This window comes from Homo sapiens, chromosome 4, assembly GCF_000001405.40.
Source record: "Homo sapiens chromosome 4, GRCh38.p14 Primary Assembly".
In the NCBI taxonomy this organism is placed as follows: Eukaryota; Metazoa; Chordata; class Mammalia; order Primates; family Hominidae; genus Homo; species Homo sapiens.
Genome location: NC_000004.12, coordinates 20,748,721 through 20,774,533, shown reverse-complemented (window position 1 = coordinate 20,774,533; position 25,813 = coordinate 20,748,721). Strand labels below are relative to the sequence as shown.

The window sequence follows — 25,813 nt, the reverse complement described above, 5'->3', positions numbered from 1 at the left end:
TTGATTGTTTTAGCTCCATTTCTTCTTACACTCTCTGACATATAATATGCTTTCAAAAACATGTCCTGCATTAATTAATTATGATAAAATCCAGCTTGAAGAAGTTTAGTAACTTATTCAAAGTTCCAGGCTAGTAAGTGATATGAGTGGCTCATAAGGAAGGGGCTGTTAGATTCTAAAAGCTACAAAACTGAGAGTAATAACTAAGGAAGTGGAACACTGGTGTGATATTCTGAAAATCCTCTGAAATTAAATAAGCAGATGGTATTTAACAAGGATAAACATAATATCCCATATTACATGAAAACATGACAAAAGCTAACAGGTTCAGAACGAGCATCATTGTAGAAATAATTTCCTCCATGGGGAATGTGTACTGGGTGTTTATACATCCAGGCACGACGCTAGACATTGTGCATGGGTTATCTTTATTTAAGCCTCATAATAACCTCCAGATAGGGTAGTATCATTATTTTCATCTTAAAGGTTTAAAATGTTCCCCTGTTAAACAGCAAAGCAGGCTCAAGCAGCTTTGACTCCAGAGCCCACATACACTTAACAATTTCAGAAGGTTTTCAGACTCAAGCTTTGGAACTTTAGTGGCGTTGTCTTGCTTATTTGTTTTCTAAGATCTACAAGTTTTTGGTGACTAAATTAAAGGTGGCCCAACTGCCAAAAAAGTGATTGTGAATTCAGACTGACGTACACCAAATGTAATATCCAAAATGGAGATCAGAGTCTCTGGGCCCCATTCCCAGAAATAGTTAATTTTTTAAATTATCTAATGTAGGAATGAGGCTGTCACCGTTCATAAAAAGGAAATAGCCTTCTTGAAAGAAATTTACCCAGACAGGCACCAAGCTTAGGAAAAGAACAATCCCTTAAGAAAAAGAACTGGAAATCGCTTTTCTAGCTATCATGGAGGACACTACTGCCCCCTTGTGCCTCATTATGATGATACAACCCTAAGAATGTTTGGTCCAACTCACGCTGAGCGCCGTCTGAGCTCCAGAGAGCCCTCGGAAGCGTTCTGCCCCAGCTTGCTCAGAGTCAACAGGCCCGGGAGTTTCCTTTTGGGTCATTTTGCCTGGCATGGAGAGGAGACAGAGGCTTTACTGTCCCACCTGAGAGCTCGGAAGCACTGAAGTACTAGACACAGGTTCCTTTTAGGCAGCTACCGTGACCCTTGATAATTGTTCCCTTCATAGCCTCTGAAGAAGCACTAGGAGAAGGCAAAGGAGGGTGGAAACTTCTCAAGTATTTGCAACAATTGCAACAATTTCAAAAATACGTCCTGCATAAATGAGTGATGATAAAATCCAGCTTGAAGAAGTTTAGTAACTTATTCAAAGTTCCAGGCTAGTAAGTGATATGAGTGGCTCATAAGCGAGGGGCTGTTAGATTCCAAAAGCTACAACTGAGAGTAATAACTAAGAAAGTTTTGCAACAAGAACTTAATTAAGCAGACTAAACTTTTTTTTTTTTTCTTTAACTTCAGAGACTCAGGGCTGCTCCTGGAAATGGTAGCTCACTGAGGGAAAAACTTGTGCAAGAGGGACAAACTAGTATTTTCTCAGAATGGCAATAAGAAAGGGAAAGGGGCCGGGTGTGGTGGCTGACGCCTGTAATGCCAGCACTTTGAGAGGCTGAAGTGGACGGATCACCTGAGGTCAGGAGTTCGAGATTAGCATGGTGAAACCTCGTCTCCACTAAAAATACAAAAAATTAGCCGGGCGTCGTGGCGGGCGCCTGTAATCCCAGCTATTCAGGAGGCTGAGGCTGAAGAATCGCTTGAACCTAGGAGATGGAGGTTGCAGTGAGCCGAGATTGTGCCATTGTATTCCAGCCTGGGAGACAAGAGCGAAACTCGGAAGAAAAAAAAAAGAAGAAAGAAAGAGAGAGAGAAAGGGAACAAAATGTATAATAAAATGTATAAAATGTATTTAGAGCTGAATCTGACCTGTCCTGAACCTGCCTCACCAAAGCAGATGACCAGACAACTTGAGGTCCTATCCTCCAACCCCTCACCTGGGACATTTCAATTTATTTGTAAAAAACAATTCAAGTTTTCATGCTGCTTTGCCCTGAGGGTTTCAATATATTTATTGATGTCAGTATTTGAATACTGACTGCTTCCTCCGTAGTAAGCTCCTTTGGATGAGGGCCATGCTTGTTGATTAACCGTTACGCTCCTGTGCGTAGTCAAGTGCTTGGTATATGAATACGTGTTGAACAAATAACGAATACTTTGTGTTTTAGTGATTAATAGGATTGAAAGACATTGGGATAAAAGTTACCCCTTAGTTAACTTTTCCCCCCGCAGGTGCACTCACCTTTCAAGCTTAGGAAGATGTGAAAGATTTGCAGTCAAACTCAAGTTCAAATCCCAGTCCCACTGACCTTGGGAAAGTTCTTTAAACCTCCCTGTGCTCATTTCTTAAACATTGTGTGGTAAAACATCTACCTTTTCTACTTCTCAGGGATTTAATGAGAACATGTATCTCCTACACCACATGGCTCAGTGCCCAGCAGACCACGAATGATCATTAAATTTAGTTTTATTCAGCTGGGCACAGTGGCTCACACCTGTAATCCCAGCACTTTGGGAGGCCAAGCTGGCTGGATCACGAGGTCAGGAGATCGAGACCATCCTGGCTAACACGGTGAAACCCCGTCTCTACTAAAAATACAAAAAAATTAGCTGAGCTTGGTGGCGGGTGCCTGTAGTCCCAGCTACTAGGAAGGCCAAGGCGGGAGAATCACTTGAACCCAGGAGGTGGAGCTTGCAGTGAGCCGAGATCGCAGCACTGCACTCCAGCCTGGGCGGCAGAGCGAGATTCTGTCTCAAAAAAAAAAAAAGTGAGTTTTATTCACCCCCAATTCCTATGCTTTCTCAAAGTGTCTTTGGATAGACTTTAAAAGACGTTCTCCAAAAATCTGGACCTGCATATGCGCACCCACCACCGTAATCTATAGACGACACCTCTTTCTCCAGCAGACATTTCACCAAACTTGTCAGCAACCTGTAAACTCAACTCATTTTTATTTTCTCTTTCTGTAGAAAGGTGTAATACAAGGACAAGAAGGTTGTAGCTTATGTTAGAATGCTTTTGACTATAAGTAACAAAAAAGATCAATAAAAAATGGCTTACACATGAGGAAAATGTGTAATCTCACATAAGGAGTCCAGAAATCATAGTCTAAATGAAGTTATCAAGGGGCCAGAATCTAGCCAATTTAGTAGGTGACAGAAATCAGACTGGGAGAGAATAGATTTTTTTAAATCTTCAGGGAATAAAAAGGCTTTATACAACCATGTATATATATATGAACATATGTGTATACCATCATCTCCATGCAGTCATCTCTCTGTATTCTTGAGGGACTGGGTTCAGAACCCTCCCCCATGGATACCAAAATCTGGGGATACTTAAGTCTCGTTATATGAAATGGTGTAGTATTTACATATAACCTATACATCCTCCCATGTACTTTAAATCATCTCTAGATTACTTATAATAACTAATACATGGAAATGCTGTGTAAATAGTTGTTATATTGTTTTTCATTCATATTGTTTGTTTATTTATTTATTTATTGAGATGGAGTCTCGCTCTGTCTCCCAGGCTGGAGTGCAATGGCATGATCTCGGCTCACTGCAACCTCTGCCTCCCGGGCTCAAGCAATTCTTCTGTCTCAGCCTCCGGAGTAGCCAGGACTACAGGCATGCACCACCATGCAGGGCTAATTTTTTGTATTTTTAGTACAGACGGGGTTTCACCATGTTGGCCAGGATGGTCTCCAACTCCTGACCTCAGGTGATCCGCCCACTTCAGCCTCCCAAAGTTCTGGGATTACAGGCGCGAGCCACTGCACCTGCCTTATTTTTTATTTATTTTTAATTTTTATTTTTTCAAGTATTCTCAAGCCACAGTTAGTTGAATCTGTGCATGCTGCAGCTGCGATATGGAGTACCTGCTGTATTTTATTTTATTCTTTCTGATTGAAACACTGCGTGTTTCTTTTAAGTAGAATTCTTTACTCGGTATTTTTTTTTTTGGTCAATATTATTAGGCTGATATCATGCCAACTTGAAAGTGATCTAATCAATTAGTAAAATCTAAAAAAATTTATTTCTGCTCTGGATATAGGCAGACATACTCTAGACGGGGAACACTCAGCATATGGGATACTATTCTTAGCACTCATAAAAAATATTGAATTTTGGCCTCACAGCTGGTCTTTACACTGCTGATTCTAAAGCCTTGACAGAATATAGTCTTTTCAAATCGCATTAAACTATGGCAGGTGCCAAGAAATATAGTTGCGAGTTGTGGTGGATACACTTGTGAGTATAATTGTAAAAAAAAGACTGTTGTTAAACAAAAACTGCTATGAAAACCAAAATGAACTGATGTTCAGAAGAAGCAGGCTGTGGGAGGTATTAATAGATATCTAAATGCAGCCACTCAAGATCCCTGTCTCTTGGTTATCCAATCAAATACTAAGCAAGGTACTACTGTGATGAGATTTTGCAGATATAATTAAAGTCTCAGGGCAGTTGACCTTAAGATACAGAGATGATCTTTGTGGGCTTGATCTAATCACACGAGTCCTTTACCAAAGGGGAAGTCAGAGAGAATCAGAGTGTGAGAAGGACTCAACAGGCCTTTGCTTTGCTGGTTTGAAGATGGAATGAAGCTGAGAGAGAAGCCCCCAGTAAACAGCCAAAAGGTTACAGGGACCTGGGCCCTACAACCACAGAAGCTGAATTCTACCAACAACCTCAGTGAGCTTGGAAGAGGACTGCAAGGCCCAGATGAGAACCATAGCCAGTTTAAGTGGGAGACTGAGCAGAGCACACAGCTAAGCCATGTCAGACTCTTTTATCCCACAGAAGTGTGAGATGATACATTTGTGTTGTTTAGAGTTACTAAGTTTATGGTCATTTTTTATGCAGCAATAGAAAACTGATACATAGGCTTTGTCCCAGGGCACCATTGTCTTTTTTTTCCACTAAATGGTTTTGGGTGCCTATAGAATTTCACTACATCATAATTTTTAAAAGACCCTGACAAAATGGACACTGTCTTCTGGATAAAGTTGGGAAAATCCTTTTAAAAGTCTCCGTAAATCAAACAATTCTACATGCATTCCACTAAAGATTCAGGAATTGGGCCCAATCCCAGGAAGCCTTTTCCTACAAAATTTGGAAAATCTCTTTTTGCAGAACCAACTTAAGTTACTTGAAGAGATAATAGTAAAAATAAGTACAATTTGTAGAATGTTTAGTATTATGCTAGAATCTTTATATACATAATGCCAATTAGTTCTCATTTCTTTACTATAAGATGCTATTGTTTCCTGCATTTTTAAAGACTAAGACTCAAAGCAGAACTTTTCAATTATTTCTTCATTAGTAGTAGAGCTGAAACTTGAGCCAGTTTTTTTTTTTTTTTTTGGCTGTAAATCTCATGTGATTTCCTTCTTCCATATGGTTAGAGGGCAGAACTGAAGGGGAGAGAACCTTTGCCTAGTACCTTGGATTTCTGCTTCATCCTGGGTGACCCTGAGAACTCGTGGGGCTCAGAATGTGCCCACATCCTTGCAGCTGAATTGAATCTTGGTCACCCAGCTCTCATTCCTTTTCCAAGGATAGTATCTAGGTCAGCCTTTTCCCACCATTGGCTGTTTCTTTTTTTAATCTGCAGTGCCTATTTAACCACTTTGACCCCAGAAGTGTGTTCAGGAAATGGAAGAGGCAGTTAATGCAGATTTTGGAAACAAGAAAATATCCAACATGTTGAGTATATTCAGTTTTTAAAATTGGTTGGGTTTCTTTCATCCATTGTCTATTTTAGTTTGCATTTCTTTTGCTTACCTGTGATGTTAGTATTACTTACCTGTTATATCAGATGAGAACATTTAGACTAAGAAGGAATAAATGAGTTGCTAGGAGTTCAAACACCTGGGCATATTAGAACAGAAATTTATAGCCAGCTCTAGTTCTTAATGATCAGCTTTTCTGCTTTGAAAACTGAAAGGTTAATCCTATAATTTTTAAATGAGCTTTTTAGAATCCAATTTTTGACTATGTTAAGCTTTTTATGTTGAAATAAGAAGTGTTTTTCTTGATCCTAGCCATCTCCCCTTAATTTCTGCGATCATAGTCATTGTGGGCAATCATGGGGATATCGGAACCCCCATGACTATCTTGGTCTTGGTCTTAGGAGTTCTAAAAATGTAGGCCCAAGTTTTGAAGGACATTATCAGAGCAAATTCATTTTCTAATTTATTAAAAGCTAAGAACTGACTGAAGATTTATTCATTCAGCATAAATATTTTTAGTATTCCCTATTCTAAACATCGTAAAGGTTAGTCCCTGCCTTGTATTTACTAACTCTAAAGAGAGCAGAGAAGTCCACAGAATCTGGTGATATCAGCAGCACAGGTTGTAGGATTGTGTCATTTAAATTTTGAAAATTCTCCTGCAATTATAGAATGCCAGAGAATCTCTGAATTGTCATACTACATGCTAAATACTATTTTAACTGATAGACCGAGCAGACTACCTTGTATGTTCTCCTTAGCACCAGAGATGGGTGTGAGAGTTGGTGAAATATACAGATGCCTAAGAGATGTGGCATTACAGGTATCATGAAAGGATCCCCAAATAACTATTTCACAAGCACTTTTAGTTTTTTTTTCCTATGAAATGTCTTACTGTAATTCTTTTTTTTAATCCTGAAGAAGTCTCTAAATGTTTAATAACAATTCTGATCCTGAGGAGAAGACACATATCAGAACAGAATGATTTAGGGGAAGAGAAGATTTCAGCTAATAGAGTGGGCAAAGATTATTGGAGTGGACAATATTATAATTATATGATGTTATTATACCTGTGATTTGCATACCACTGCAGCTATTTCTCATGCATTTCAACAGAGCTCTGAAAACCTTCCAGGAAATGCTGAAAGGTTTCCTTATAAGGTGAAAGTATAAGAACTCTTGAAGCACTCACAAAATATGTTTCTTAGCAATTTCCTATGCATACATGGATCTTTCTCCAAAGCACCCTTCCCAACACTTTCCATGATGATTTCAAACATACCATGTAAGCATCGCTGGGGAAAACTTTAAATTAATAAATAAGAGGCTCCTGGGTTTCTACTGACATTTATTTCCATGATGGTGGCCTTTATTCTCCTCTGCTATCATTTACAATTACAATATTCCTTTCTTTTAGGGTAAATTCTGATGATATTAGATAGAGTGATTCAACTTATAACACTAGAATAGAAAGCGTAATTCATATATACTTCATAAGCTGATTGCATTTCAGACCTGTGTTATTCTAGATTCAACCACGTTGATAAATATGATTTATCCTTGGTCTATCGGCATTGATGTTACAGTGACTCATTGCGTGATGGAGTTCTGCTTACCAAATCCTAAACTATTACCATGGTACTAACAGCTAATATTAAATGACCAAATATGATGTGTAAGGTAGAGGGCTAGGATAATAGCATAATATGTGTATCTTATTCATTCTTATAGCAGCTCTCTGAGGTCAATTCCTGTCCCCGTTTCACAGAGGAGAGCAATGAGACTTAGATTAAACAGTTTGCCTGAAGCTACACAGCTCCCAAGTGGCAGAGTAGGGGTTCAACCCAGGCCTTCTATTTAACTCCAGAGCCCAAGAATATAAGCACTGCACTAGATTCCTCTAAATAGTACCTGACAAAAATTACCAGCTATTGTATGGACACGAAGACATTTGCAGTATCAAAGCTTAGTCCTAGACCTCAGGAAACCTAGACATGAGGTCAGGCTTAGCAGCCCCCTGTGTATCTATGGTCAGTTCCTATAACCTCCTTAATCTCTATCCCCTCACCTTCAAAATGAGGACATTGAATTGAATTGTCTCTAAAGTTGCTTTATGTTTGTTTGTTTGTTTGTTTGTTTGAGATGGAGTTTTGCTCTGTCACCCAGGCTGGAGTATAGTGGCGTGATCTCGGCTCACTGCAACCTCCATCTCCCAGATTCAAGTGAGTCTCCTGCCTCAGCCTGCTGGGTAGTTCAGATTATAGGCATGTGCCACCACGCCTGGCTAATTTTTGTATTTTTAGTACAGACAGGGTTTCACCATGTTGTCCAAGCTGGTCTCGAACTGATTTCAGGTGATCCACCCACCTTGGCCTCCCAAAGTACTGGGATTACAGGCATGACCCACCGTGCCTGGCCTCTAAAGTTGCTTTAAACTCTCAAGTTTCCTGATTCTGTGATCTATAGATTAGATCTGCTATTTTCTAATTTGGGAATGCAGTGGCCCCTCTCTAAGACAGTTCATTCATTTGTAAAATGGAGTTAATACTAACATCTTTCTATTCCCACGAGATAATCCATGTAAAACATTTAATGCAAGGGTTGGAACATAAAAAGTGCTCATGTGTATTAGCTTAATATCATCAGTATCATCATTGTCATCATCACATTAATAATTATAAAATATCAATACCAATAAAGTATTACTTTATGCTGATTATTACAATAGTAATACTGCCTTATTAAAATTGATATTAGTACTAGCATAGTATTCATTGCATATCTACAACTAATCTTGACCCTCACATGTGTCCCCACATGGCCTGAGAGGACTGAAAAGGCTCATCAGGGAACACAGCAGTAAGGCCCCAAAAGGCGACTGTTTCTTCACCAACAGACAAATCTATGGCAGTTATATTGCAAAGAAAACCTCATTCTACTTTTATTGTGTTGTGATCATATCACAGTGAAGGGTTTCACAGGCAATGAAAGAAATGCAATGGTCATCATAGATAAGTATACCAGCCAGCAGAACCAGAGACCTCCAGCTCCTAAATACTGGATGGAGCAGTTCATTTGACTGGTCCTAAAAACCAGAACATTTTCCTCAGCCCATTACTATCTAGCCATTTACAATGACAGTAAAGAGTATGTGGCACACAGGAAGGTGGGGAGGTTCTTGTTACACTAAAACCAAAGATTTCTAAAAAGAAAAAGATTGCTTTCCTCAAATCTCTCAAGCTACAATGCACAATAAATTTTAATCGGTGATCCCAATTTTGATTGAAATGGCTTCCCTTTGCACATGCCTCTCTCCAACGCAGCTGTGATGGGTGCCTCTGGGTACAAATACACCGTGTACATCTTCCCAGAAGAAGGATTTCCACAGATGACTCTCCAGGAGACTATGTTTTCAGTCCTAATAGAAGAAAAAGTAATAATCCAGAAGGCAAGATAGCATTGCAATTCATGGAGTCAGAGTTATGAGTCTGATTCCACTAAATGTTATATTCCACAAGAGCAAAAAAGAAATGGAATTTTAAAAACTCATTCCTGTATCTCCAGTGCCCAGAATAGTAAAAGGCATATGAACTATTTGCTGACACTTAGAAGGCATTAAATAACTACTTATTGAATAAATGAGCAAAAAGATGTCTCTGTCAAAACCTGTGTGACTCAAACAAGTGACTTCATCTCTCCAAGCTCATTGTCCTCATGTCTAAATAATACCCACCTTTCAGGGTTGATGAAAGTGTTAAAAGTAATGGTCTGCATAAGAAGGAATGGAGTTGTTTATTTTATCCTCAATAAACCGCTGTGATTGTGGTGATGTGGTCCGGCTGAGTGCCATCACAGCGACCCTGTCTGTGTGAAAAACAGGCAAATTGCTTTATGCCTCGGAGGGACCTGTCCAAACGCCTCAATGTCCACTGGTAATTTTCAGAATGACGATTGGATTCATGAGGGAAGCAAATTATTGCTGTTTGTTCATGGGGTTGTGTGTGTGTGTGTGTGTGTGTGTGTCCAATTCCCATGTGATTCTAGTCGGTAGCTCCTCTCGGTGTGAGACTTTCTCATAAAGCTGCGGTGGCAGCACGAATGGATGCAGCGTTTCTGGAAAGCACCATGACTGTGCATAGAAAGAGCTTTCAATGGTTTAAACTGGTTGGTCTTACGATTCTCCTTCTGGGATTAGTCATAAAGAAGAAACCACAAGTGCAGTCACAGAAGGATGCATAGAATATTAATTACATCATTATTCCTATGTAGTGCAAAAATGCCAAAATCGCCTCAATATGCAACAGTATGGTAAGTTCAATGGATGCATTATTATGCAGTCACTAAAAATCATGATGTAAAAAATGTTCAGGATATTTCCTAAAGTTAAAGAACATAAAATGCTATAATTTTGTCTTATTAAAACTTTATTTCTACGGTATATATGCTTATATAAATGACCAATATACTCTTACAGTAGTCAGATTATGGGTGATTTTCATTTTCTTTAATTTTTTTCTATAGAGGGCATATTTTCATGGAATAATCATTTGCTAATAATCAGACAAAATTTCATTAGAAAATAGAATACAGAACCATAAGGGTTAGTAGAAGCTTGCAGCAAATTCTCAGAAGATGGATGAGTGAGGCATTTCTTACTATCCCTAAACCCAGGAACCCTACTGCTTCTTGGATCCTTAGAAAAATCTAATGAAAAAATTCATGCTCAAACATTTAAGCTTCATTGTACTTGTTTACTTGAAGCAAGTAAACAGTCTTTAAAAATGACACCTGGGAAATGGAGACAATTTATACTGCTAAATGACTTGATAATCTTCATGTTACAACATCAGTGGGAGGCTGGGCTCACACCTGTAATCCCAGCACTTTGGCAGGCCAAGGCAGGATTGCTTGTGGCAGGGAATTCAAATCCAGCCTGGGCAACATAGTGAGATCCCATCTTTACAAAAATACAAAATAAAAATCAATAAATAAAGCATCAGTGGGAGAACTGTTTCAGAACACAGACACTTGGAGTATCTTTCAAACATGCCACAGGGATAGATATTCCAAACTCTTTACAAATCTGCATTCTTGTCTTCTTTCTGGCCATACCAGACTTCTTATTTTGTTTGGGGTAGACACATTAAGTGATCTCTAACAACAAAAAAAATGAGAATAGAAATGATGTATACCACTTTAAGACCTGGCCCATAAAAAGTTTCCATGTACTCTTTTCAGCGTTCTTTTCCTCCTTCTGGATGACACAGTCACAGAGACTGTTGGCGCCATATGTTAAAGTCACCAAATCTTCATTAGCCTCTGTCCCTAGAAGAACCATCAGCTGATCTGTACACTCACCCAAGATTGTTATGTGAATAAGAAATATACTACGTGGTTTTTAACTGTGTTATACAGGTTGACTATCCCTCATCCAAAAAAGCAAAATACTGTAAAATCCAAAACTTTTTGAGAGACAAAATGGCATTCAAAGTAAATGCTCATTGGAGTATTTCAGATTTTCAGGTTAGGTATGTTCAACTGGTGATGTGGTTATGCTTTGTGCCCTACCCAAATCTCATCTTGAATTGTAATCCCCATAATCCCCAGGTGTCAAGGGAGAGAGCAGGTGGAGTAATTGAATCATGGAGGCAGTTCCCCCATGCTGTTCTCGTGATAAGTGGGTGAGTTCTCATGAGTTATGATGGTTTTATAAGGGGCTCCTGCCTTTCACTCAGCACTTCTCCTTTCTTGCTGCCTTGTGAAGAAGGTGCCTTCCTTCTCCTTTGCCTTCCACCATGATTGTAAGTTTCCTGAGGCCTTCCCAGGGATGCTGACCTGTGAGTCAATTAACCTCTTTCCTTTATAAATTACCCAGACTTGGGCAGTTCTTTATAGCAGTGTGGAAATGAACTAACACAACTGCTGAGTGTAATGTGAATATTCCAAATCCCAAAAAATCTAAAATCCAAGACACTTCTGTTCCCAAGCATTTTGATTAAGGGACATTTGAAGGCCTAATTTTACAGCAGCAAGAGTTAACTAATACAGCACATTGTTTATGTTTTACACTTTGCTGCACATGCAGCCTGGCCAAATTCATTCTTGATAGAGAAGTAGAGAGACCACTTTTATGGAGAGATCACTGCACAGAAGAGGTGAAGAAAAAGTTACAGAATGTATACCATCTTGTAAATCACTAGCATCTTTTTCTCACCTGAAGGTTTAAAAAAATGCACTAGTTTCAATAAAAAATCTCTGGGAATAAATAAAAGATCATCATTCTTGGATTTGATTTTTTAATATTTAGTTATTGGTCTTTGCTATGGTCTGAATGTTTGTGTCCCTTTAGAACTCATATGTTGAAATCCTAACCCCCAATGTGATAGTATTAGGAGGTGGGGCCTTTGGGAGATGATTAGATCAGGTGGACAGAGACTTCATGAATTAGATAAGTGTCCTTTTATAAAAGACCCCACAGAGCTAGCTCGCCCCTTCCACTATGTGGGAACACAGCTAGAAGATGCCATCTATGAACCAGGAATGTGGCCTCATCAAGCACTGAATCTGCTAATCCTATGGTCTTAGACTTCCTAGCCTCCAGTACTATGAGAAATAAATTTCTATTGTTTATAAGCTGCCTAGTCTATGGCATTTTGTTAAAGGAGCCTGAACAAAGACAGTCTTTATTCTTCTAGTTGGATAGAGGTTCCATGATGGGAAGACCTTTGACTGGTTTATTGTAGCAGTCCCAGTTCCTAGAAGACTCCTGGAATAATAGGCATACAGTATGTGTTTGTAGAGATGTAAACTAATGTAATGAATATAAGGTGGATAAAAACAAATTTATCTGGTGAGACTTTCCACCCTGAAACTTGGCCAGTAGTTTTCATTTGGCAGAGAAAAGGTTTCCTCTGACACAGATATGTGATTAAACATAAAACACATGCATATCAGATAGTCAGTTTACAAATTCATTTCACATTATATCTATCAAATATATCTAGAGACTGAAGGCAGCTAACAAATTTGTTGATGCAGAGGTCCCTTTGCTTGAAGTCCTCTTCCTTTATCAGCATCAACTTTTAACTCCCAGGCAACTTTCCAGCTCTAACTTTGCACAAGCTTGCCACCTGATGGCAGAGAGCCAGGTATTTACTCTCTCCTTACTATCCCAAGCAACTGGCTTAGCATTAAATAGCCAATAAATCACAATTTCCATGTGTGAGAGGGTCTAACTGCAAAGTGTTTAGTCTTAAAATGGGTCCATTGGTGTCAGCTAGATAGATAGTCAAAATGTTTGAGAGATTAGCTGTATACATACCACCTTTGGAGTTGTAGCTATTGGTTGTTAATTCATTTATGTATTAGGGTCCTTCAGAGAAATGGAACTAATAGGATGTGTGAGTATAAAGAGACTTATTAAGATATTGGTTCACACTTTGTGGAGCCTTGGCCAGCTTGATATCTAATGAAGGGGTCTGGCAAGCTGGAGCCTCAGAAAACAGTTACAGTTCAAGTCCAAAGGCAGGGTGCTGGTGAACAAGGGAAGCCAATATTACAGATGATGTCTGAAGAACACTCTTTCTCTGGGAAGGTCCGTCTTTGTTCTGTTCAGGCCTTAAACTGATTCAATGAGGCCCCCTCACATTGTGGAGGGCAATCTGCTTTACTTAAAGTCTACCAGCTTAAATGTATTGAAAGTAATAGCAAAAGCCGCAATTTTGCATCAATGTAATAAATCTCAAAAACACCCTTACAGAACTATCCAGAATAATGCTTGACCAAACACTTGGACACTATGGCCCAGAGAAGTTAAACACATAAAATCAACCATCACAGTTCACTTGCTTGCTTGCTTGCTCATTTGTTTTTGGTTGTTTTTTTCTTTACTCCAATTCTCTTAGGTCCTTGAGGTCATCATTATTTCCACAGGGGTCATCTAATACGAAACCTTGTCATGACCTGGAGAGTTCCAAGCCCACATTCCAGCTTCCCCACTGGCTTAGTGTGTAACAAAGTGCTTTGCCACTCAGCACCTCCAGTTCTGCCTCTGTGAATGCAGCTATTTTGCCTACCTAAGCTCATCATTAACAAATGGGATAAAACCATATCGAGAAGCTCTGTAAACACAAATTCACATTGAAACTGTTAACACTGTTTATGTATCAAAGGTCCTACCTTTCAAAACAACAAATGAGAAAATAGAAAATTCTGCAGGTGAAGCACATTACAGTTGAGTAACTGACTCACTGGAATAAAGAAAGTAAGTTTATTAGTGAGGGAACAATGATTTTAAGGGTTAAGTGATGTTTTAAATACTACCATAGGTGATTGATAAAGATGCTGGAAACAGTATCAAATTTAGAGTACACAGAATATTCATGTCTAAAGTCAGGTCTGTTGGGGAGTTAGCACACCATTCATCCTTCCCCAGTGAACTTAGTCCTGGGTGGACGTTAGGTGGCGTGGGAGTGCTGTGACAACTAGAGTCAGGGGAGCTCTGATCACATGGGACTGTTCATGAGAATCTACTAAAAGAGACTAAACAGAACTTACCACTTCTCCACTTACAATGTGCAGTTGACTCTTGAACAACACTAGTTGGAAGTGTGTGGGTCCACTTATATGTGGATTTTTGTCAATAAATATAGTCGCCCCTCTGAATTTGCAGCTTCAGCATCCACTGCCAAATGCAGATCAAAGATACAGGATAGGAAGGACCAACTTCTCTTATCTGCAGGTTCTGCAGTGCCAAGTGTGGGACTTGAATGTGCATGGATTTTGGTATCCGCGGTGGTCCTGGAAGCAATGCCCCAAGGATAACAAGGGATCACCATACAGTTAATATCTCACATGATTCAATTCTGGGCTATCATGTGATTGTCAGTCTCCACCACTCAAGGGGCCTCTACGCCTAAATTCTTAACCACACTGGTTCTTATAACTCCAAAAAATGGAGGAATTTCCAGAGATTGGGGGACAATTTGCTTGCTCAAACCTTATATTCTGCACCAAGGCAGCCCCCTTCTGACACTTTAAAGTTTCTTTTTTTCTTTTTTTTATTAGCAAAAATGCCAAAACCACTCTCAGAGGGCTAACCTTGCCCTGTGGCCCCTCCAGGTCAGTTGTCCAACATGGGTGTAGTTCCCAAGATCAATGTCCATCATTCTTTGACAAGTTGACCCAGGGACAAAGGTGGGGATCTATTAAGCCCAGGCCAGGCCATTTCTTTGCAGACTCTCCTTTCCGGAAGTTCAAAAATATGGGGTTCTATCTCACCCAAGGTCACTTGTTACAAAACCATGTCTTGGGTATGCCTAGACATCCTGTTAACAAGCATTAGTATCTATTACTGGTTGAAGCTTCTTGAGCCACTAGAGATGCCAATAGAGTAATTCTGCCATTGAATCGAAGATTATGTGAGTTCAGAAAACCTTGAAAGGACAAAACCAAGATTCACCAAAGACTATATTATAAACATCTTGCAACATGCTTGCTGTGTGAAAAATAATGCAATTTCCTTTTACTTTATAATAAACATATGTGTTCTTAAAAGCAGCACTGTGTTTCTGAATACATTACACCTACTTTGATACTCAATATGCAAAGATATTTACATCTACGTTTTTTTTTCTTGTGAGAACTGGAACAAACATAAGTTTATAGTGTGCTTTTATTCCCTTTGTAATAATGGATGAATGGTTAATTTTCTTGGTGCAGCTTTGCATGGTAGACAGTTCTGTTTCAAAATGTGCAAAAAAAATTCAGTTTTATGAACACTTTGCTCATATTGCTTCTCTGCCACTTTCCCTAGGAATGCCCCAGTGGTGTTGTTAATGAAGAAACCTTCAAAGAGATTTACTCGCAGTTCTTTCCACAGGGAGGTAAGTACAAATGTGGACTTGTTAACATACTATCAGAGTTACAATTATGCTTGCAGTGTTGAGTTTAATTTTTCATAGCATGATGCTACATTTTTAATCGTTATGTAAAAGAATTAATGCACAGCATGCAAGTGTATATAATTTTTAATGTACCATAAAAGCCAGCGACTTAGAAATTATCAAATATCCAAGAGGCTGCTCTTTAGTTTAATACAACTATTACTGTGTGCCCAGTACTGTGGCTCTCAAATGCACAATGTTTTCTGACTATTATGAGGGTGCTCAAAAATGCCACAAAGCTCATTCACATGCATTGTAGGTCTCACTTGATTCTCCCAACTCTGAAAATTAGGAAAAATGTAATTATCCTCAATTTATAGATATGAAATCTGGGGATTGGAGAAGGTAAATGGTTTGCTCAGGGCCACATATTGACTCAGTGGCAGATCTGGGTTATAACCTAGATTTTCTGCAGCCTCCCCTTGTATATTTTCTGCTGTTCCTCTTTCTTTCAGTAATTCTTTACTGTGCTCCCTCATCTGAGAAAATTAAAACCATCCTAGATATTATTTTAATTGGAAAGAAAACACAAGGATAGCGTAATGATAATACATGCATGTTAGAGATGAGTGAAAAGATATTCTTGCCATTGGACCTTATAGTTTTTCTTTCAATTACCTAACAGATGCCCAACTTATATTTGTCCCACAGCCTATGGTGTGCCTAGCCATGCATGAGGTGCTGATCACGTAGGGGGAATTAAGAGGAATAGGATGTAATCTCTGCCCAAAAGAATGTTATACCTAGTGTAGCAGATGGACAATGTCAAACTCAAGTATAACTGTGATTATGGGAGTTAAAAAATAATATTCTGAGAGCACAGTGCTGGCATGATTAAATTAGCTGCAGGACAGAGAGGACATAAAAAGAGACTCTCCAGATGAGTTGAACCTGAGCTGAAGTTGTTGCCATTCAGAAAGCATCTAATATGTGCCTGTCCCTGGCATGCCTCACCATCCAACAACCCTACCTATAATCCTCATTTTTTTAAAGATACACACGTGGAAACTAAGGTGCAGAGAGTTTGATCCATTTCCAAAGTGTATAGTCTTTCGCTCTCCCATTATACCTCTCAGGAGAAGTTCACTTCTGAGTATGATGTCTTCCCGCTTTAAAAGGCAGTAGGGACATGACATTTTAGGCAAATGGGGTGTAAACAAAGGGTCAGAGCATAGAACTGAAGATGGGCATTTGCAGGAAATTGCCAGGATTTGGGTGTGGCTAGGGTAGAGAGTGTACAATGGAGGGTGAAATGTCCTAGAGAGTCAAGGATGCCATATGAAGAAATGGGACTTTATCCTTGAGGTGATGCAAAGCCACTGATAAGTTTAAGTGGGATCTTTTACAGTCAGATTTGATTTGTGTTTGGGATACATTTCACTGATAGGTCAGTGGAAGATTAACTTGAGGTCAGCAATACTGCAGGCAGGGAGACTAATTAGAAGATTACTGCTGTAGGAGGCAAAACAATAAGGTCTTTAAATAAGTATATGCATAGGAGAAAATGAGAAGTGGGGACAGATTACAGACATATTTAGATGACAAAAATGGAAGAATTTAGTGATGAACTAACTTTTTGTGGCATAAAGAGATGAAGAGAGGAGTTTGTGATACCTTCCAGGATTCCATCATGGACACCAGGTGACTCTTTACAGGAGGAATAGGGCGATAATGATCTCAGTTTTGGACAAATTACATCTGAGGTGCCTGTGGGGATTTAGACTCAACAAGAAGTTGGCACAAATGTGAGGCTCAGAGGACAAGTCAGAGAAAGAGATAGAGATTTGAGAATTATTAATCAAGAAGTAGTGGTTAAATCCATGATGTAGATGAGGTTACTGGGGGAATTATAAAAGGTTGCAAGCTCCATGAGGCCAGCATGAAACTCCAGAACACATGTCAAGAACCATAAGGAAAAGGGATCAACAAAGGAGACAGAGAATGAACAGTTTATGGAAATAAACACAAGAGAGATAGATAGTTCAGAAATGAAATGATGAAGTCCAGTAAGGTAAGGATCAGAAGGTCTCTTTGGGATGTGGCAACATGGGAGTCATTGTTGGGCATGATCAGGACAGCCCAAGTGCCCTGGATGAACTACTAGGGAGTGGAGCGCACAAGCAGAAGCCAAATTGCAGAGGGTGAAAAGGACGATGAGAAGAAAACAGCGACAACCAATAGAGACAGCACTTACAAAAAGCTTTGCTGGAAGAGTGAAGTGATGAGGAAACTGATCATAGTGCTGGGTAGATACCAGTGGAAGACTTTATCTTTTAATGTAGAAAAGACTGGACATTGTTTATACACAGGGAAGACTGGTAAAGAAGGAGATGTTAATAGCTTTAGGATAGAAAAGAAAAGAGATAAATAGGATTCAGAATTGGAGGAAAAAGATAGTGATGCGATGGGATAGTGGAGTCCATGAATCGGGAGTTCAGGAAGAAGGTTTTATCTCAAGACAAGAGGGAACCATCTAGTACTTCCTTTCAACTTTGACATCTACTCAATATAGGGGACAACTGTTTCTCTCTGTTATTATGGCCAGAGTTGACTTTGCCATTGACCTTGCCAACACTTTTTTTTTTTTTACTACTTTCCACTTAAAGGAGCCACCGTTATCTCCTGCCAAAATAAACACAGTAGTCTCCAAACTGACTTCTCTGATTCTGATGACCCCTCCCCTAACCATGGTCTACTCTTAAAATGAGTCAGAGTGATCCCGTTAAAATGCAAGCAAATCATGTTACTGCCTGTTCGAAACCATACCATTCCATAGAACATAAGCCACAACCTACAGAGTGGCCTACAAATGGTGGCTACTGTCTCTTGTCCCTTCTCTGCCTTATCCTCTACCATTCTCCCACCCAACTTACCCCACCCAGCCACAGTGGCCCCCTTGCCATCCCACCAGCACACCAGCCATGATGCTGCTCCTGGGCCTTTGAACCTGCTGTTCCCTCTGCCTGAAATTATCTTCTCCCAAATATCTATCTCAATATCTCATCACCTTTGCATTTACGCCAATGCCACCTTCTCAGTGAGACTTGCCCTGACCACTCTATCTTAAATTGCAACACCTTAAACATTCCCCATCCCCTTCCCCTGCTTTATGTCTCTTTTCGGCACTCGAGACAATCCAATAATATATATTTCACTTGTACCATTGTTGTTTCTTTCTCTCCACTAGAATGTCAGCTCCAGGGGAACAGAGGATTTCTCCACTTTGTTTACTGTTGTATCCACAGGTCATGGGACAGTGGCTGACAAGTAATAGCACTTGATAAATGCTTTTTGCATGAATGAATGAATGACACCCACCTCACATGGTGGCTGGCTATCACTGTACAGTGGAATAATATCTGTAAAAGGCTCTTTGAAAAGTGTACAGCACTTAAGTATTAGTTGTTTCATACAAAAGTCAGATTTCCTTTGGGGTTTTAATCCATTTGGTTTTAGCTAGTTTAGTGGATTTAAAACAATTTTGTGCCTAACATGTCAAAACAAATTTTTGTTTTCGGTGGACTTTTAAAAGAATTAAATTAGAATTCTAAGAAAACACAGGAAGACTGTTATTAAGTGAATTTGGATATACTTTGGATGACAACTCTCCCACCCCATCTCATTACTACAGTGCAGAGGGGAGGGCCCTTCTAACAAACCACAGACAGGTATTGGTAATAGTACCTGATGCCAGGATTATAATGAGTTCACTGTCTGCATTAATGAGAGATTAATTTGGGGAATTAATTAACTACCTCATGTTTTTCTAAATTGTTTAAAACCCATGGATTTTTTAAAGAAAAATTATATTTACTATCTGAGTGCCTACCAACATCTTAATAGGCATTAATATCAAAGCACCAATGCAGATGAAAATCTTTAAGTTATTTTTCAATCATTTCAAATCAAGTTATTACATACTAAAACTTGGATAGAGCTCCACATTAAAATTATATCTTTATTTGAAAAATAACATTTCTGCATTAGAGAACATCTTCTTAAACAGAGCACATCTATTTTGCAAAGGATTCCTATCACAAAATCCAAAGGGATTAGGGATTTGAGAAAAAATTACTGTTACACTCTTAACAATTATTTCATTATTCATGTTAATTGAATGCAGAAATCTGACCACATGAGGCATCGCTGAAGGAAATGAAATATTTTAAAGAATTATGATTTGCTTTGCATTTTTAAAAATTAATATCATACATACAAATTGTTTCTTACATAAGGCCAGAAAAGGAAAAATGTCCTAAGGAAGAATGTGATCTCTGATGGCAGGCGAATTCATGTGATGGCCATCCTTACACTTCCACGGAGTCATCCTTTATTCAGGATGATGGTCTGAATGCAACAGTTTTTCTCATTATGAACAGTAACATTGATGGGTCCATAAATCACAACATCTCACCATTTCCTCCAGGAAAGTGCTTTGTCTTATCTACAGAACTCTCTGCAATTTGTATTGTGTCAGGCTGTTAGCTTTCTCTATTGCTTTGTGAAACAGTTTATCAAACCCAACTTGTTTGGTGAGCTGGATGTCAGAAAAAACTGGATTGAACAAAAGCCTCTTGTTGGCAGGGGATAAAGTATGCCTACTGTAAGGCAAGCAGAGAGGAAACGGTTTGTTGGTGCTATTGCCTATATGGTTACACAAAAACTTCTTAAACTCCACATACAACAGAAGCTTTAGTGTGTAAGCTTTTAGTTCACTAAACATTTTTAAAGCCCATAAAAATCATAGTTTCCTGGGCTATTCCTGCTCATGTTGTAGGAATGCACTTATGTTGTCTACACTAGGCATATAATAAACAGTTGTTGAATGAATGAATGAATGAATGAATGAATGAACAAATGAGCTCAAGTCAGAATAATCTGTCAATAAACATTTTTTAAGCAGCCGCTGTATGCAAGTCACTTGAGTCAGATGAGTTCTGTAGACATAAAGATTAAAATAAAATTTAAAAAAGACTTCACCCACTGAGTATCCTTCTTGTCCTAGGACAGTATTTCTAACAATTTTCAGGGTGATTTACAGAGGGCTTATTGACAGAAGCTACTATTCACACATATGAACTTGTCTTACCATAGTAACGATGTCATGAATTGTATATTCAAATACATGAAGGTGATTCTATTCCTCGTGCTTGAATTCAATGGGAGTAGGGGTGTGGGAAAGGAAAAAGAAATAAACCAGATTGATTTCATTCTACAAACCTGGGGCATGATAATCAAGTGTGTTTGTTCAAATACTATGAAGAACGAACTCTAGGGTTACTTGCTATATTCACTGTGTTCTCGATATAATTGGGTTAAGAACTTTGGACTAAGTTCAGAGTTTGTGGATAGACTGCCACCACCAAGGTATGTAACCTCGAGTAGTTTACTTTTCTTAGCCTCAAGTTGTTCCTCTATAAAATGCAGGAGTCACACCAAAGGAATCCTAGGGGTTTTTTCTACTCTAGTATCCTCGATTTCTAAGAGATGGTATAGGAATATCTTGATTCCATTGCCAACTTTACCATGAACTAACTAGGTGACCTCAGTATGTCACTACAAGTCCCTATTTTTACCTTTGTTCAATGTAAATACAATGCTAAATAGTATCCAAAATGTCTTCCCACCCTAAGAATCTGTAAATTTTGTTGCTCAACTATAAAATCTCAACATTTATTTTTCAGCTTCACAAGTAAAATTATAAGAAACTGAGGCAATCCCAGCTTAACAAACTCAGTAACTATTTTTGTTATGTAAAGGAATGTGATCACGAAGAGGTCATAGACGGAGAAGGGAGATCATTGTTATATCTTTTAAGCCCTGGACTGTACTGAAATCTAGATTCCAAGAAGTCAGTTAATCACTCTTTTAACAAATATTTATTGAGTGCTTAAGAACACAGTTGAGTAAAACCAGAACCATAGATGCTTTTGTAGACAGTTTCTCTTTTCGTCATTTTATCCAGTTTTCTGCCTAGCTGGACATTCCTTTGCCTTTGCTTCTTTCTCTCACCCAGTCAAAGCCAGTGGCTTCACTCCTCTTCTTTAAAACTTTCCACTGTCTTCAAGTGCTTGCCAGAAGAAATCCAAACTCCATCAGAAGGACCATTGATTTTTAGGACATAATTATCTTGTCTTTTATTGAGCAGAAAATTGCATTAAATTAGAACTCGTCACCTAGACACACAACAGAAATCCTACAAAAACAGCAAGTTATTTAAGGTGAAAAGATGTTACGTTTGTAAAAGATTTGATCACATGTGTTTAAGGTAGTTGAAATAAAAGTGGCTTGCCTAGGAAATAATAATAGCTAATATTTACTGAAATTTTAATAAGTATATAGGATTATTTCTAAACACTTTGCAAATAGTGTCTCATTTAAACTTAGTAAGATCTCTATGAAGGCTGGGCATGGTGGCTCACACCTGTAATCCCAGCACTTTGGGAGGCTGAGGCAGGCTGATCACCTGCTGTCAGGAGTTCGAGACCAGTCTGGCCAACGTGATGAAACCCTGTCTCTACTAAACATACAAAAATTCGCCGGGCATGGTGGCAGGTGCCTGTAATCCCAGCTACTCAGGAGGCTGAGGCAGGAGAATCGCTTGAACCCAGGAGGTGGAGGCTGCAGTGACCCGAGATCGTGCCATTGCACTCCAGCCTGGGGGACAAGAGCAGTACTTTGTCTCAAAAAAAAAAAAAAAAAAAACTCTATGAAGTACATACTGATATTGTTATCATTTTGTAGATGAGGAAACTGAGCCACACAAAGGTAAAACAACTTGCTTGAGGTCATGCAGTTAATCTCTGGTGAAGCTGAGATTGAAATTCAGGCAGTCTGACTCCACTATGCTATTATCAAAACCTCTGTGCATAGATTGTCTAGACTGGGAAGCCGCTGTAACTTCTAAAAGAACTGCAGAGGCACATTTAGAAGAACAGGATGTCCTCTGTACCACATTAGTGTAAACCTTGAAAGCATAATTCCCACATATCAAGCTTTAAGCTAGAAAAACTCCATTTGAGAAGAATAGTAATTATCATATACCCATGTTATCTTTTTTCTTTTTGATTAAAAAAATAGCAAACATCGTTGTTTTGAGCCATTATTTATGGTGAGTACTGCTTGCTAAGGTAAAGGCATTTACTCTGATTGTGAAAACAGGGTAACTAGAGACTTGCTTAATGAAGCTCATTATAAAATATGCAAAATCTCTTTTTTTTTTCCTCCTCTGAAAATCAGTTCAACACACCATCGATCAATTCACATCTCCAGAGGGCACTATATAGTTCAAGAAGTACATGAAAAAGTACTGCTGAGAGTAAAACAACTTTGCAAGTTGAAATAGGCTGCCAATTCTTGATAACTCTATAATGGAGCTTCCCAACAACAGAACTAAGTTTATGGTAATTAAACTCCTGGCTCCATATGCAAAAGAATTTCTTCCTGCAATGTATCAATACTGGATGGATATCCACTCTAGATGTCACAGTGTTACATGTTATTTAGACCCAATTTTGGTTCTTGGTTAGTTCACTGAAAACGGTGCTGGTAATTCCTGTGTTCAAAGATAAGTAGTTCTTCATAGCATATTAAAAAGGTGAGAGATGAGCGAAGATGCCACTGTCATTTTGAGAAATTGAGTGTACAGTCTACCTCATGAAATGTATAGCCTTCAGTAGTGTTAATTACTACACTGAAGCATTCGGGAAAAACAACCTGTAAGGAGGCCGTGAGCCCTGAGAGCCAGGAGAGAAATTTAGATGGCCTCCTCAGAGGGCAATTCTGTACTCCTGTTACTATGACTTAGCTTCTTGACAGCCTATAAAAAGCAATTCATAAAGTAAAAATTAAATCAATGATAAGTTAAAACCCAATAAAGGTTAAAAGTTATAAAATAGAAATAGATGAGATTTAAAACAGAAGATAAAAGGCTAGAGCCAATGAGCTAAAAGGTTACCATTTTATTTTGAAAAGACAAAAAAGGTTAAGATAAAAGGCTAAAGCCCATGAGATGCAACACTGAAAATAATAATGTAAATTTTATCAAGGGTCAAGCAAAGAAACCCTAAGGAATGAAAGCTAGGCACTCAGAACAGAAAACAATAAGGAAAAAATACAGACTTTTAAATGAAATGGCAGAAAGCCCAGAGATTAAGGAGACAACGGAGAAACAGGAAAGGAAGGAAGGAAAAATGAGAGGGGAAGAATACCCAATAGAAGCAAACTAAGAACACCTGTTAGACTTCAGAAGACATACCTGTCCATCATTACCCAGATCCTTGAATCCCACCCAGGACCCAGACAGAGTAGGGGCTCCCTACTTCATGCAACTTCATACAACTAGGAACATGTAGGACCACCCAGTCCCCTTCCAACACAGCCACAGAAACTTCCCAAGTCACCAATGACCCCAATCCATCAGCCAACTTTACTGCCTGTGGGCTAGCCTGGTACTGGCTGAGGGCTAGCCTGGTTCTCAGAGTCAGAAAGACCTAAGTTCATGTCCCAGATTTACTCCTTCTTCACTGTGTGACTTTGGGTATGTTTTTCACCTTCTCTAATTCCCAATATCATTTTCTGAGTTGTAACAATGATGAAAGTTCTAATAATGACAGAGACACTAATAATAGCAACTCATCTCTGTCTCATTGGTAGTATTTTTAGTACTTTACTTCTAGAGATGGTCTCTTCCAAACACTAAGCAAATTCCAGACAAGTCTCAATCTTCACATCCACCTATGGGACCATTTCTTGTCCCAGTGTTAATCTCATCACCCAAGACTACAGCATTGCCAGCCAGAAACTCATAGAGAATGTTTGTCACCAATGGCCTCTATGTAGGTTGCTTCTTCCTGTGAATCTCAAACTCTAGTCCTCTACAGAAAGAGGGTAAGCAGTTGTGAAGAAAGCACAAACTAAAGGAGGCAGAGTTAATTCTTCTGGATCAAAGGAAGCTTGGACTGCTATCCAAGTCTTATGTAGGATATGGAAACACTGACTTAATGATACTCCCTTTTTACCATTTCAGACTCTACAACATATGCACATTTTCTGTTCAATGCATTTGATACAGACCACAATGGAGCTGTGAGTTTCGAGGTAAGCTCTGGATTATTTTCATATCATTTGACTATTTAGAGTTTAGTCTTTTTAGGGGGAAAATGTGAGTTTGGTGATGATTATTTTTGCTCAGGGGAAAGAAAGCCCAAGGACACTCCCTTTCTCTCATGTAATTGCCAAAAATTATCTTTCAAAAGATGTACAAATTGCAAGCCACATTCAGTTTATTTTCTAATGCTTTATATCGGCTCATACAAGGAGAGTCCACTTCTTCAATTACATGTGAAAAGTCCTGGAAGGCAAATGAGTTAACTAACAGTTACTGACACCTCCTTATGGGCCAGTTGCTGTGGTAGACCTTGGAAATACAAAGATGATAAAGTCAAAAGTCCTGTTATGGAAGTCTCAGTAAGTGGGGCACACAGGCAAGAAATTAAATGTAGAAAAAGACTACATTCACCAGCCTGACAATTCTACGAGGAAATCTCTTTTTAAATTACAAACTTTAAGTGATCTGTAGAGAACGTATTTTTTTTTTTTTTTTTGAAAGAGTCTCGCTCTGTCATAAAGGCTGGAGTGCAGTGGCACAATCTCAGCTCACTGCAACCTCTGCCTCCCAGGTTCAAGTGATTCTCCTGTCTCAGCCTCCTGAGTAGCTGGGATTACAGGCCCGTGCCACCACGCCCAGCTAGAAAGTATTTAATTTCCTTCATGAACTACTGTGTATAAACACCTAGTAAAATAAAATGTCCTAGATATTTACATAGCTTATATATGTATTTCATATATATATATATATATATATACACACACACACATACACACACACACGTAATTCATATGATTCAAATGGTAAATAGCAGATCATAAATTGTAGTATATTGATTTAAACATTAGGAGAATAAACCCAACATGAACTCTGATCAGCTGTGAAGGCTTTTATTTTTGTTAGGGAAAATATGTGAGAAATGTATACCTCA

At 38.8% G+C, this 25,813-nt stretch overlaps 2 protein-coding genes across 22 annotated transcripts in view; one reads left to right on the top strand and one right to left on the bottom strand.

Annotated features, from left to right (window-relative positions):
* Nucleotides 1–25,813, top strand: part of KCNIP4 (potassium voltage-gated channel interacting protein 4) — a 1,220,167-nt gene that overhangs the window by 1,174,239 nt on the left and 20,115 nt on the right. For all 8 annotated transcript variants that reach the window (NM_147181.4, NM_025221.6, NM_147182.4 and 5 more), the window contains 2 exons: nt 15,644–15,713; nt 24,802–24,872. In NM_147181.4, coding sequence (NP_671710.1) covers nt 15,644–15,713; nt 24,802–24,872 — 141 coding nt within the window. The remainder of the gene's footprint in view (nt 1–15,643; nt 15,714–24,801; nt 24,873–25,813) is intronic.
* PACRGL (parkin coregulated like) overlaps nt 7,161–25,813 on the bottom strand; it is a 71,092-nt gene continuing 52,439 nt past the window's right edge. For 9 of the 14 annotated variants that reach the window (NR_133933.2, XR_925302.3, XR_001741142.3 and 6 more), the window contains one exon: nt 21,634–21,969. The gene's annotated coding sequence lies outside the window, so the exon portion shown is untranslated. Of the gene's footprint in view, nt 9,248–21,633; nt 21,970–25,813 lie in introns of those variants that run through there. The other 5 variants (XR_925303.4, XR_925306.3, XR_007096364.1 and 2 more) reach the window with 2 other exon arrangements.